The sequence below is a fragment of the Homo sapiens genome, chromosome 4 (genome assembly GCF_000001405.40).
Source record: "Homo sapiens chromosome 4, GRCh38.p14 Primary Assembly".
NCBI lineage: Eukaryota > Metazoa > Chordata > Mammalia > Primates > Hominidae > Homo > Homo sapiens.
Window position 1 is genome coordinate 131,428,653 of NC_000004.12, and position 14,278 is coordinate 131,442,930.

The 14,278-nt window shown below is 37.1% G+C and overlaps 1 long non-coding RNA gene across 33 annotated transcripts in view; it reads left to right on the forward strand.

The window, feature by feature from the left end:
- LINC02377 (long intergenic non-protein coding RNA 2377) overlaps positions 1–14,278 on the forward strand; it is a 338,568-nt gene that overhangs the window by 48,896 nt on the left and 275,394 nt on the right. Inside the window, exon 3 of one of the 33 annotated variants that reach the window (NR_183945.1) lies at positions 291–396. The exons of the other annotated variants lie outside the window; for them this stretch is intronic. This is a non-coding gene — a long non-coding RNA (long intergenic non-protein coding RNA 2377). The remainder of the gene's footprint in view (positions 1–290; positions 397–14,278) is intronic. 33 annotated transcript variants of the gene reach the window in all.

Consider the following 14,278-nt stretch of genomic DNA (forward strand, 5'->3'; position numbering starts at 1 on the left):
TTCTTACTCTCCCCCAAAAATATTTCACATGTCTTTGTCTCTTTTGAACATCCCATACATATTCTATCTTCCTATCCTCAGCTGATAATTTCCTTCTATTCTGCAAGGGACTGAATATTTATGCCCGCCCCGCATCGTGGCTCCCACCAAATTTAGATGTTGAAATTGTAACCTCCCAATGTGATAGCATTACAAGATGGTGCCTTTAAAGGATAATTAGGTCATGAAGGTAGAGCCCTCATGAATGAGATTAGTGCCCTTATAAAAGGAACCCAACTTCTTTTTGCCAGGTGAGAATACAGTCCTGTTGTGCAACCCCAAAGAGGGCTCTCACTGGAATCAAACCAGGCTGGCACCCTGATCACCCTGATCATGGGACTTACGGCCTCCAGAACTGTGAGAAATACATTTTTGTTGTTTGAAAGTGACTCAGACTGTGGCAGTTACAGCAACCTGAATTAGTGAAGTACTATTCCAATGAGATAATTTGAAGCATTTGGAAGAGTCTAATTTTCCGGGCATCAAATTTAGCAATGAAACTGTACCTTTACCAATATATTCTATAGTCCATTCTGATGTCACAAGTTTTTATTTTTATTCAAAGCCCCCTCTTTAGAGCTGTATCCTGGGTCATTATTTTTTTCATCTTTTCTCAAATACTTTTTTCCGGAAATTACGTCTTCTCCCTCTGGTATAATTGTCTTTTTATTTAATCATCCCATCAGATTAAATACATGTTGTAATATCTTCCATCTTTAAAAAAAAATTTCTCTGATCACACATGCCACTATTTATCCAATGTCATTCCTTTTTATAGCAAGTATCCTTGCAAGTGTTGTTTTTATTTGCTGTTTCAATATTTTACTTCTGACTCTCCATTAAAACATTTTATTATGAAATACGTTATATAATCAAAATGACAATACATACACTATTTCAAGAAATTGAAGATGACCTTAATTGTAGGACGTATCACTGTTTTATCTATCAATAAGAGAGCATCAACAGTAGCAGATACAACTATAATAACAACATGGATTGGCAGATACATTGCAATGGTGATAATGTGAAAAATGAACATTTTAGAAATGCAGTACCATATTATTTTTATTAATATAGTAGAAGAATTTAGCAAATAATATTCTTGTGCACATATAATAATAAAAAGAAGGACTCTGGTTTGGGGTTATACTGCTGACTCCTTTCAAGTCCCTACCCCTTCTCTTTACTTTATGCTTCACATCTGGGCAATCTGTGGTGGAAGGTGGCACAGGCTCTTAATTCCAATCAAACTAGGCCAACCTCAGCTGTAGGGGGCAAGCTCCACTATGGTATTCTGGTCATTTTGCACATATCTAAATAGGCCACGTGGGCATAGGCTTGACCCGCACCTAGTCTGAGTTTTCACTGGAGCATGGTGTTATCTGATCTCCCTGGGACATGAGTGGGATCCTTGTAAGAAGCTGTTCTGAGATAATCTCCCACTCGCCTCTTTGTCTTACTTGGGAGGCTGGGGGAAGGCAGTATTTCTGAATCTATCAGTTTCTGAGGTATGGGAATATTGGCCTTGCTTTCCCCCTCAGAGTAGAGCTATAAAATTTAGACTCCTCAGTAATGAGATATTCTACTACTCATGTTGTAATTAAGCACTTGTTGTGATGCCAGCCTTCTTGGTATATGGGACCAGGATCACAGGGTTCCATCATTTTTTCCCTTGTTCTTTTTTTGCTATCTATGCACATAATAAACTATGCTAATGTAGATATTACTGAGGCGATGCATCAGTCCTTGGCTTTTCCTGTCTTCTGCATCTGTAAGCTTGACACCAGCCTCACCAGCTCCACCTTCTGACCAACATAAAAGCCCAATACCACCTGCATCCTCTTGCTTTTCTTTCACTTTAGACTTAATGTGGGCCCTTCTACTTCTGTCAAAGACAAAATTAAAACAAATTTAGTTTAAAGATCTCAGTCAGCATTATTGTAAATTGGGCAACGCTCCATTCTATGAAATAAAATAAGTGTTCCAATGAGCTGCGTGGAGGGGGGTGGTTTTATGAAAAAAGTAGCCAAAGAAAGCAGAAACAAAGATCAAAGTGCAGATTGGTCATTTCAAAACTTATTTTCCTTGGAAGGTGGGGTCAGGGACACAGAATAATAGAAAAATAACTGGTTACCATCAGGTCACTTCAGGTTTCATTTTGTTGTAAGGATTAAAATGAAGGAAATTTTGTTATGCCAATCGAAACTGGCCTGCTTAGGAAACTAGAAAGTTTTCTCTCTCTCCTGATCTCCTGGAAGGCCAGACTACAACTCAGTTTCAGTTTGGTGATGTGGAGCCACAGCATGAGTGACTTTATTTTGATTTTTAGTGTAGCCTATTGGGGCTTAGTGGAGGAGCTTAGTCTGCAACAATGACGTCTTACAATTTTTATTCAACACCTCAAATCTATTAATGCCCATGTATCATTCATCTTAAGATTCATAAATTTCCAGGCAGTAGGGGATGCCTGGAATTTCCTAGCAGGGAATGGTAGGACCTCAAATAGCACAGCAGGTATACTTCTGTAGAGCATGATTGTTATTTTTAAAAATATAGCTGGGAGCTGTGATCATGCCACTGCACTCCTGTGTAATAGAGTGAGGACCAGTCTCAAAAAAAAAAAAAAGACTAAAGAAAAGAAATAGAACTGGGAATGTTATTATTTTGTCATAGTGAATGCTTGTTAAAATATAACTAACCACTAGTAGGTAGTTTGTGTGAATTCCCATTATTCTATATCTTTTTTCAAGCTTTGGAAGAGTCTTCTTTCTTTTGATTTTAAAATGCTTAAACATATTCTTGATATTCTCTCCTGGACATTATAAAGTATTATTTTTCATATTTAAATTATTATTTATACTAGAATTGTATAATTAGTGAAAACAATATTTCGTGGTATATAAATGCATCCAATTTTTTTGACACTGATACCCAATTATTCCAATAAAATCTATTAATACTCTTCTTGCTTTGCTGATCCATAATGCCATCTTTGTAATGACATATGCCTTTTCTTTCGTATCTGATTGAGTTTCTTTCTGGGACCAAAATTCTGTTCCACTGGTTTATTTCATTATTCAATATACTAAGGGGGTATTAAATTACTTAGCAAAAGTTTATTTAAAACAAATTTATTTAAAACAAAATCACCACATTTGAATAAGTACTATCTCTAGTCTCATTATTGGTCATAAACATTTTTAATTTTGTTTTTGTTTTTCCCCCTGCCATAAACACAGCCTCCACATACCAGTATACCCATGTGTATGCATATATAAATATTTATATAATTGAGAAAATTGTATATATTGTACTGTGTTGAATAATTTACTTTTTATCAAAATAACATTTAAAAATATTGAATGTATTTGTTAACCATTTGTAAATTTAGAAGAAATATTTTTAAAAAATATTTCACCAGCAAAAATGAACTTATTATGAAAGAAAGGGATATAAACCTAGAGAGAGAATGACTGTGGTGTGGCAGATGGTGTAGATCCCCATCACCTATCTTCTTGGCCAACCTCTCCTTTCAGCTCCGCCTTCTTTTTATCTTCTTTTTAGCTGTGAGAGATCATACTGACTTTGATAGCTCCATGCCCCAAGTACCTGACCCTCTATTTCTCTCCCTGAGAGCTTTAACTATGTATCCCAAGCTTGCTCAATAAAAGACAACTGCAACCAAGAAATGTGAGAAAACTGACACTTCCCAAGAGCAAACTCTAAAGCCATGGGGGCTCAAAGCCAGCCAAATAATGTCCCAACCTCTCTATATTCTGGTGGACAATTCTGGGAGGTGTTCTATATCACATCTTAGAGGCAGTCAATGAGATTAACCCTCAGTTGCCCACAGTGAAAACTTACTTCTTCAGGCAATTTTCATTGTCTTTAAAATGTCTCGTTTTTACTCTCTTCATACTCTCAATTGTGAGTCCTGGCATCATGTACTAACACCCTTCTCTTAGTTCTTATTTTAGAATCTGCTTTTGTGGGAATTAAAATTAGGACACATGCCATCATAAAATGTACAATAGCTTCAAAGAAATAATATAGTCAGGTGTATATCAGATGTAATAAGACAGATTTATTAACAAATAGTTCATTAGAGAAGATAAATATGATAACATAACTAGTTCATTCATAAATAATACAGCTAAAATGGGAATTTTTACTAAAAGAGGGAGCAGAGATTCTGACTATATATACACATGCATATGTGTGTACACACACATCTTTCACTTAGTGTGTATACATATATACACAATATGCATGTGTATACACATACACACATAAAAATGAAGAGTATCTATATAAGTATTATATATCCTTAATGAGAAAAAGCTTGTTGATTTTGTATAAAGTTTTAGTTGTGCAAGATGAATAAGTTCTAGAGATCTACTGTACAACACAGTACTTATACTTAACAATACTGAATCATGCACTTAGAAAATTTGTTAACAGCCCTGTTAACACCAGCCCTGTTAACTCTCCCTTTTTGTGGTTAGTGTTTTTACCACTAATAGGAATAAAGGCCCAACAAACCTTTGGAGATGATGGATACATTTATTATCTTGGTTGTGGTGATGGTCTCATGGTTATATGCATATGTCCAAACTCATTAACATGTATACATTGAATATGTGCAGTGTTTTGTATCAATTATACTTCTGCTATAATAAAACTGTTGAAAAGAAACAAATTGAAAGGTTAAATTATTACAAACCTAAAAATACAAAATGCCATATAAATAAGAATAAAAAATTTAAAAGTTAATGTACTACAAAGAATTTTCTTCATTCATAGACTTTATTTTTAGAACTGTTTTAGGTTTACAGAAAAATAAGCAGAATACATTACATAGCATTTTCATACTGGTTTCTTTAACTTAACAATACATATTTAAGGTTCCTCTATGTCTTTTTATGTTTTTAGAGTTGATTGCTTTTTATCTTTGGGTAATATTCTACTGTATGGATATATCACAGATTGTTTAGCCATTCACCTATTGAAAGATGTCCTGGTTGCTCCCAGATTCTGGCAATTATGTATAAAGCTTCTACAAATGTTTGTATGCATGTTTTTATTTTGACATTAGTTTTCAACTTACCAAATTTTCAATTTGGGTAAACAGGAAGAAACATGATTGCTGGGTTCAATTAGTAAGAACAGGTTTAGATTTATAAGAAATAACCAACCTGTATTCCAAAGTGGCTGTATCATTTTGCATTCCCAGTGGTAGCAAATGAGAGTTCCTGTTACCGTACATCTTCGCCAGCATTTGCTGTTGATAGTATTTTGGATTTTAACATTTCTAAACATATGTAGTGGAATCTCATTTTTGTTTAAATTTGCAATTTCCTATAACATAAGAAGTTGAACATCTTTTTGTATGTTTATTTTTTATCCTTACATCTTCTTTAGCAAGATATATGTTCAGCTCATTTTTAATTAGTTTTTTTTGTACTTTTTAATTTTAAGTTCAGGAGTACATGTGCAGGACGTGCAGGTTTGTTACATAGGAAAATGTGTTCCATGGTGATTTGCTGCGCAAATCATCCTATCACCTAGGTATTAAACCCAGCATCTTTTAGCTATTCTTCCTGATGTTCTCCCTCCTCTCCCCGCTGACCCTCTGACAGGCTCCAGTGTGTGTTGTCCCCCACATTATGTGTCCATGTGCTTTCATCATTCAGCTCCCACTTATAAGTGAGAGCACGTAGCATTTGGTTTTCTGTTCCTGTGTTAGTTTGCTAAGGATAATGGCTTCCAGCTCCATCCATATTCCTGCAAAGGACATGATCTTGTTCCTTTTTATGACTGCATAGTATTCCATCGTGTATATGTACCCCATTTTCTTTATCCTGTCTATCATTGAAGGGCATTTAAGTTGGTTAAATGTCTTTGCTACTGTAAATAGTGCTTCAGTGAACATAAATGTGCATTTATCTTTATAATATTTTATGCTCCTTTGGGTATAGCAAGTAATGGGATTGCTGGGTCAAATGGTATTTCTGCCTCTAGGTCTTTGAGGAATCACCACACTGTCTTCCACAATAGTTGAAGTAATTTACAACTCCTACCAACAGTGTAAAAGCATTCCTTTTTCTCCACAACCTTGCCAGTATCTGTTCTTTTCTGACTTTTTAATATTATCCATTCTGACTGGTTTGAGATGGTATCTGTATGAGTCCATTCTCACATTGATATAAAGAACTACCTGAGACCAGGTAATTTATAAAGAAAAGGGGTTTAATTTATTTATAGTTTGACATGGCTGGGAGGCCTCAGCAAATTTACAGTCATGGTGGAAGGGAAAGCAGGCACATCTTACATGGCCGCAGGTGAGAGAGAAGTGAGTACACAGGAAAAAAACTGCTACTTTTAAATCCATCAGATCTCATGAGAATTCACCCACTATCGCAAGAATAGCATGGGGAAAACAGCTCCCATGATCCAATCACCCCCCTTCCTCTACAAGGGGAAATTACAGGTCCCTCCCTTGACATGTGGGAATTACAATTTGACATGAGATTTGAGTGGGGACACAGAGACAAACCATATTCCTATCTCATTGTGGTTTTAATTTGCATTGCTCTAATGACCAGTGATTTTGTTGGGCTTTTTTTCATATGTTTGTTGTCTGCATGTATGTCTTCTTTTGAGAAGTGTCTGTTCATGTCTTTTGTCTAATTTTTAATGGTTTTTTTTTTTGCAAATTTGTGTAACTTCCTTGTAGATGCTAGATATTAGACCTTTTTCAGATGGATAGATTGCAAAAATTTTCTCTCATTCTGTAGGTTGTCTATTCACTCTGCTGATAGTTTATTGTGCTGTGCAAAATTTTTTTAGTTTAATTAGATCCCATTCATCAATTTTTGCTTTTGTTGAAATTGCATATGGTGTCTTCAACCTGAAATCTTTGCGGGTGCCTATGTCCTAAATGGTATCGACTAGATAGTCTTCTAGGGTTTTATATTTAATTATTTAATCCATCTTGAGTTGATTTTTGTATACAGTGTAAGGAAGGGGTCCAGTTTCAATCTTCTGTTTATGGCTAGCCAGTTCTCCCAGCACCATTTATCGAATAGGGGATCATTTCCCCACTGCTTGTTTTTGTCAGGTTCGTGGAAGATCAGATGATTGTAGGTGTGCAGTCTTATGGCTTGGTTCTCTATTCTGTTCCGTTGGTCTACGTGTCTGTTCTTGTACCAGTACCATGTTGTTTTGGTTACTGCAGGTTTGTAGTATAATTTGAGGTTGGGTAGCATGATGCCTCCAGCTTTGTTCTTTTTCCTTAGGATTGTCTTGGCTATTTGGGCTCTTTTTTTGGTTCCATATAAATTTTAAAATAGTTTTATTCTAATTCTGTAAAGAATGTCAATGGTAGTTTAATGGGAATAGCATTGAATCTATAAATTGCTTTGGGCAATTTTTGCTCTTGTTGCAATTGCATATGGTGTCTTCAACATGGCCATTTTCACAATGTTGATTCTTCATGCTGCTATAAAGATACATGCACACGTATGTTTATTGTGGCACTATTCACAATAGCAAAGACTTGGAACCAACCCAAATGTCCATCAATGATAGACTGGATTAAGAAAATGTGGCACATATACACCATGGAATACTATGCAGCCACAAAAAAAGGATGAGTTCATGTCCTTTGTAGGGACATGGATGAAGCTGGAAACCATCATTCTCAGCAAACTATCGCAAGGACAAAAAACCAAACACCGCATGTTCTCACTCATAGGTGGGAATTGAACAATGAAAACACTTGGACACAGGAAGGGGAACATCACACACTGGGGCCTGTTGTGGGGTGAGGGGAGGGGGGAGGGATAGTATAAGAGATGTACCTAATGTAAATGATGAGTTAATGGGTGCAGCACACCAACATGGCACATGTATACCTATGTAACAAACCTGCACGTTGCGCACATGTACCCTAGAACTTAAAGTATAATTAAAAAAAGAAAAAAAAATTGATTCTTCCCATCCAAGAGCATAGAATGTGTTTTCATTTGTTTGTGTCATCTCTGATTTCTTTGAGCAGTGGTTTGTAGCTCTCCTTGAAGAGATACTTCATTTTCCTTGTTAGCTATATTCATAGGTATTTTATTATTTTTGTGGCAATTGTGAATGGGAGTTTTTTCATGATTTGACTCTTGGCTTGCCCATTGTTGGTGTATAGGAATAATAGCAATTTTTGCACATTGATTATGTATCCTGAGACTTTGTTGAAGTTGCTTATCAGCTTAAGAAGTTTTTGGGCTGAAACTATGTGGTATTCTAGATATGAGATCATGTTATCTGCAAACAAAGATTGTTTGCGTTTCTCTCTTCCTATTTGAATTCCAGTATTTCTTTCTCTTGCCTGATTGCCCTGGACTACATTGAATACGAGTGGTGAAAAACAGCATCCTTGTCTTGTGCTGGTTTCCAGGGGAATGCTTCCAGCTTTTGCCCATTCAGTAGGATATTGTCTGTGGGTTTGTCATAGATGTCTCTTATTATTTTGATGGATGTTCCTTCAATATTTAGTTTATTGAGACTTTTTAACATGAAGGGATGTTGAATTTCATCAAAGGCCTTTTCTGCATCTCTTGAGATAATCATGTGGTTTTTCTCTTTAGATCAGTTTATGTGATGAATCACATTTATTTATTTGCATATGTTGAATCAACCTTGCATCCTGGGGATGAAGCCTACTTGATTGTGGAGATAAGCTTTTTGATGTGCTGCTGAATTTGGTTTGCCAGCATTTTGTTCAGGAATTTTGCATTGATGTTCATCAGGGATATTGGCCTGAAGTTTTGTATGTGTGCATGTGTAGTATCTCTGCCAGGTTTTGGTATCAGGATGATGCTGGCCTCATAGAATGAGTTAGGGAGGAGTCCCTCCTTTTCAATTTTTTGCAATAGTTTCAATAGAAATGGTATCAACTCTTTCTTATAACAATAGTAGAATTCAGCTGTGAATCCTTCTCGTCCTGAGCTTTTTTTGGTTGGTAGGCTATATTACTGACTCAATTTCAGAATTCATTATTGGTCAATTCAGGGATTCAATTTCTTTCGGATTCAGTCTTAGAAAGATGAATGTGTCCAGAAAATTGTTCCTTTCTTCCAGATTTTCCAGTTTGTCTTCATAGAAGTGTTTGTGGTATTCTCTGATGACTGTTTGTATTTCTGTGGGATCAGTGGTGATATCTCCTTTTTCATTTCTGATTGTGTTTATTTGAATCTTCTCTTTTATTATTTTTATTCTAGCTAGAAGCCTATCTGTTTTCTTAATTTTTTCAAAAATCTAGCTCCTGGCTTTGTTGATTTTTTTGAATTGTTTTTCATGTTTCTATCTCCTTCAGTTCAGCAATAATCCTAATTATTTTTTGTCTCCTGCTAGCTTCAGGGTTTGTTTGCTCTTGGTTTTCTAGTTCTTTTAGTTGTAATGTTAGGTTGTTAACTTGAGATCTTTCTAGCCTTTCGATGTGAGAATTTAGTGCTATTAATTTTCCTCTTAATACTGCTTTAGTTGTGTCCCAGAGATTCTGGTATGTTATCTCTGTTCTCATTAGTTTGAAAGGACCACTTGATTTCTGCCTTAATTTTATTATTTACCCAGGAGTCTTTCAGGAGCAGATTGTTCAGTTTTTATGTAGTTGTGTGGTTTGGAGTGAATTTTTAAGTCCTGAATTCTAATTTGATTGTGCTGTGGTCTGAGAGACTGTTTGTTATGATTTCAGTTCTTTTGCATTTTCTGAGGAGTATTTTACTTCCAATTATGTGATCAATTTTAGAGTACGTGCCATGTGGTGATGAGGAGAATGCATATTCTGTTGTTTTGGGGTGGAGAGTTCTGTAGATATCTATCAGGTCCACTTGATCCAGAGCTGAGTTCAAGTCCTGAATGTCTTTGTTAATTTTCTGTCTTGATAATCTCACTTATATTGTCAGTGGGTGTTAAAGTCTCCCACAGTTATTGTGTGGGAGTCTAAGTCTCTTTGAACTTTTCTGGTAACTTGCTTTATAAATCTGGGTGCTTCTGTATTGGGTGCATATATATTTAGGATAGTTAGCTCTTCTTGTTGAATTGAAGTCTTTACCCTTATGTAATGTCCTTTTTTTGTCTTTTTTTATCCTTGTTGGTTTAAAGTCTGTTTTGCCAGAAAGTAGGATTGCAACCCCTGCTTTTTCTACTTGCCATTTGCTTGGTAAATTTTCCTCCATCCCTTTCTTTTGAGCCTATGTGTGTCACTGCATATGAGATGGGTTCTCTTAAAGACAGCATACCAATGAGTCTTGGTTCTTTATTCAGCTTGCCAGTCTGTGTCTTTTAATTGGGGCATTTAGCCCATTCCATTTAAAGTTAGTATTGTTATGTGTGAATTTGGTTCTGTCATCATGATGCTAGCTGATTATTTTTCAGACTTGTTTATGTGGTTGTTTCATAATGTCACTGGTCTGTATACTTAAATGTGTTTTTGTAGTGGCTGCCAATGGTTTTTCCTTTCCATATTTAGTGCTTCCTTCAGGAGCTCTTGCAAGACAGGTTTGGTGGTAATAAATTCCCTCAGCATTTATTTGTGTGAAAAGCATCTTATTTCTCTTTTGCTTATGAAGATTAGTTTGGCCCAATATGAAATTTGGGATGGAATTTCTTTTCTTTAAGAATGTTAAATATTGGCCCCCAATCTCTTCTAGCTTATAGGGTTTCTGCTGAAAAGTTCACTGTTAGTCTGATGGGTTTCCCTTTGTAGGTTACCTGGCCTTTCTCTGTGGCTGGCCTTGACATTTTTCTTTCATTTTGCCTTTGGAGAATCTAATATTGTGTGTCTTGGTGATGATTTTCTCGTGGAGCATCTTACTGGGGTTCTCTGCATTTCCTGAATTTGAATGTTGGCCTGTATTGCTAGGTTGGGGAAGTTTTTCTGGATGATATCCTAAAATATGTTTTCCAGCTTGGTTCTATTCTCCCCATCTCTTTCAGGTACCCCAAATCAGTCATAGATGCAGACTCTTTGCATAATACTGTATGTCTCAGAGGTTTTGTTCATTCTTTTTCATTCTTTTGTCTCTATTCTTGTCTGCTTGTCTTATTTCAGAAAGATGGCCTTCAAGTCCTCTGCTCAGTCCTTTCTGCTATTAATACTTGTGATTGTGAAGTTCTTATAGTGTGTTTTTTAGATCTAACAGGTCAATTATATTCCACTCTGAACTGGCTATTTTGGCTGTCAGCTCCTGTATTGTTTTATCATGATTCTTAGCTTATTTGCATTGGGTTACAACATGCTCCTTTAGCTTAGTGAAGTTTGTTATTATTCATCTTCTGAAGCCTACTTCTGTCATTTCAGCAACCTCAGCCTCATCTCAGGTCTGAGCTCTTGATGAAGAGGTGTTGCGGTCATTTGCAGGAAAAGGGGCACTCTGATTTTTTAAGTTTTCAGTGTTCTTTGCATTGATTCTTTCCCATCTTTGTTGGCTTATCTACCTTCCATCTTAAAGATTTCTGCTCTTTGAATGGGGTTTTTGTGGTTTGTTGTTGTTGTTTTCTGTTTGTTTTTCTTTTAACTGTCTGGCCATTCTTCTGTAGGGCTGCACAGTTTACTAGGGCTCCATTCCAGACTCTAGTTGCCTCAGTTTTTTTCTGTACCTGGTGATCTCACCAGTAAAGTCTGTGACACAGCAAAGATGACAGTCTGCAACTTCCTCTGGAAACTTTATCCCAGGGGGATACTGACCTATTGCCAGGCCAAACATGACTGTTGTAGGTGGCTGGAGACCCCTGTTCTGAGGTCTCACCTAGTCAGGAGGAATGGGATCAGGGACTCGCTTAAAGAAGCAGTCCAGCTGGTTTTTGGTAGAGCATCTGTGCTGTGTTGGGAATCCCTTGAGCCCCTTATCCATTTGGACTTTCCAAGGCCCACAGCCTGGACCAACTGAGAAGCCCGAAAGGCCAAAGTGGTGGCCTGCCCTACCCCTCAGTCACTCTGTCCCAGGAAGAACACAGTCATGAGTGGCCAGATGCCCTGGCTGGGAGGACCTACCCTGTGAGGAGGAGTGGAATGGTGTCCCACTAAAAGAAGCAATCTGGCCACTCCTTGACAAACCAGCTGTGTCATGGTGGGGATCACTTCTGCCCCTATCAGCTTGAACTCTCCAAAGCCCACAGGCTAAATGGCTGAGTTGTCCAACCAACCCGGTGGACAACTCCCCTTCCCTGGCAACTCCATCCCAGAGGAAGATCAGAGCTCTGTCACTAATACATGCTGGTGGGCATGGCCGGAGGGTCTGGTTGGGACATCCTCCCCAGTGACCAGAAATGGATCAGGTCCCACTTAAAGAAGCATTCTGGCCGCTATCTGCCAAAGCCACTGTGTTGTGTTGCTCAGGGGACCCCTCTTCATCCAGATGTTTGGACTCTCCAAAGCCCGCAGACTGGAACAGCTGAGTTGACCAAACAGCAGTGATGGCACCTGCCCCACCCCCTAGGGCTTTGCTGAGTCTCAGACAGGTTTCACCCTGTTGCCTGTGGCTGGCTGGAATTCCAAGCCAGTGCATCTTATCTTGTGAGGTGTCCTGGAAGTGGGGCCCACGGAATGACACTGCTCAGTTCCCTGGATTCTGCCCCATTCCTAAGGGTACGTGCGGACCTCCCGCCTTGCCTGAATTGCAGACACCTTTGTGGGGGATCCTAAGGAAGGAATTTGTAAAGCTCTTGAGTCTCTGTGCTTGGCTGAGCAGCTGCTCTGTCAAGATTTCACACTGTTCTGTGTGTCAGACCCATGGCTTTTGTAGCATGGGCTCAGAAGGGGATCTCCTGATCTGCAGGTTGCAAAGATCTCTGAGAGAAATGTGGTTACCAGGGGTTGCAGTCACTTATCGCTTCCCTTGGCTGGGAGTGGGGGTTCCTTTGGCTCTGTGTCACTCCTGCATGGGTCATTGTCCCACCCACCCTACTTTTCTTTGTTCTCCATGTGTCCAGTTTTTTCCTAATCAGTCCCAATCCAAGAACCTGGATATTTCAGTTGAAGGTGCTGTATTCACTTGCCCTTTCCGTTCGTCTCTGTGACGATTTTCAAAAAATAGAGCAATTTGCTCTATTTTTTGAAAATCCACAATTTGTATTAATATGTGTAGGTTATAAAGAAAAAAATAAAGAAAAGTTAAATGAGAATTGTAGCATATTATTTTCAAATTATGAATATTGATTTGAAATGAAAAAAAGTCTTATAACCATACTCTAAATGTATTATTAGTTAGATTAATAATTACTTAAAAAAGAATATGTAGGCAGATTTTTTTAAATACTTTAACTTTTCCAATGCATATATACTTTATCAAAAAACAGGTTTAACACAGTGAAAGGCACAATATGTATCCCTTCGTTTTTCCCACCAATATATCAATAAATAAGTGGCCTTAGAATTCTTAATATTAGAAATTTATTGTACTATATGAACTGAAATGACACCCATTTTTGTAAGTTAGATATATATGGGTAAATCCCCCATTTATCTGCCAGATATTTACATCTCTCTAAATATAGTGAATAGTGGATATGTTTCTCACATGACTTTAATTTTTCTAAAATTATGCATCAAATTAGTATAATTATTATAATGTCCTCAATTTGTATTCTATTACAGCTATAAGAAATATTTGTATTTTACTTTAGGGTTGTGATAATTATTAGCATTAAGATTTTTCATTAACTTTGAGGTTTTCTTGTGGTTGAAGGCAAACATGATTTATCTAGTAGTGATCTAGAAGGAATGGAGGCTGGTCTATTTCCAATAACTGTGTCTATGGAGATGGTGATAATCCCATCTGCACCATTACAAAGACTAAATGTTCACATTCAAAGTTCTAGAATTATGTTACAGATGTCTTTATCTCATTACGTGGTTACTAGGGGGTTGTTTCATCTGGTGTACTTTGATACTGTGTGTACCTTAACAAGCAATCTGGAATAAGCCTTCTGTTTATAGCACTAGAAAACAGAGCATTGTTATATATCATGGCTACTGTTAATTACACTGTGGTGCAAGACATCATTAAAGCTTGAAATGCTCAAGGCATGTCAGCAGAATTTGTTTTACTTAAGTTAAATTACTTTTAAGACTCAGATTTAAATAAACAATATATGTGACAATTAAGTATATCACTATATATCATTGCTTTTGCAGCTTTGGTTGAGACTAATCTGTTGGCAAGTTCAGGTTTTTGGTCAAATT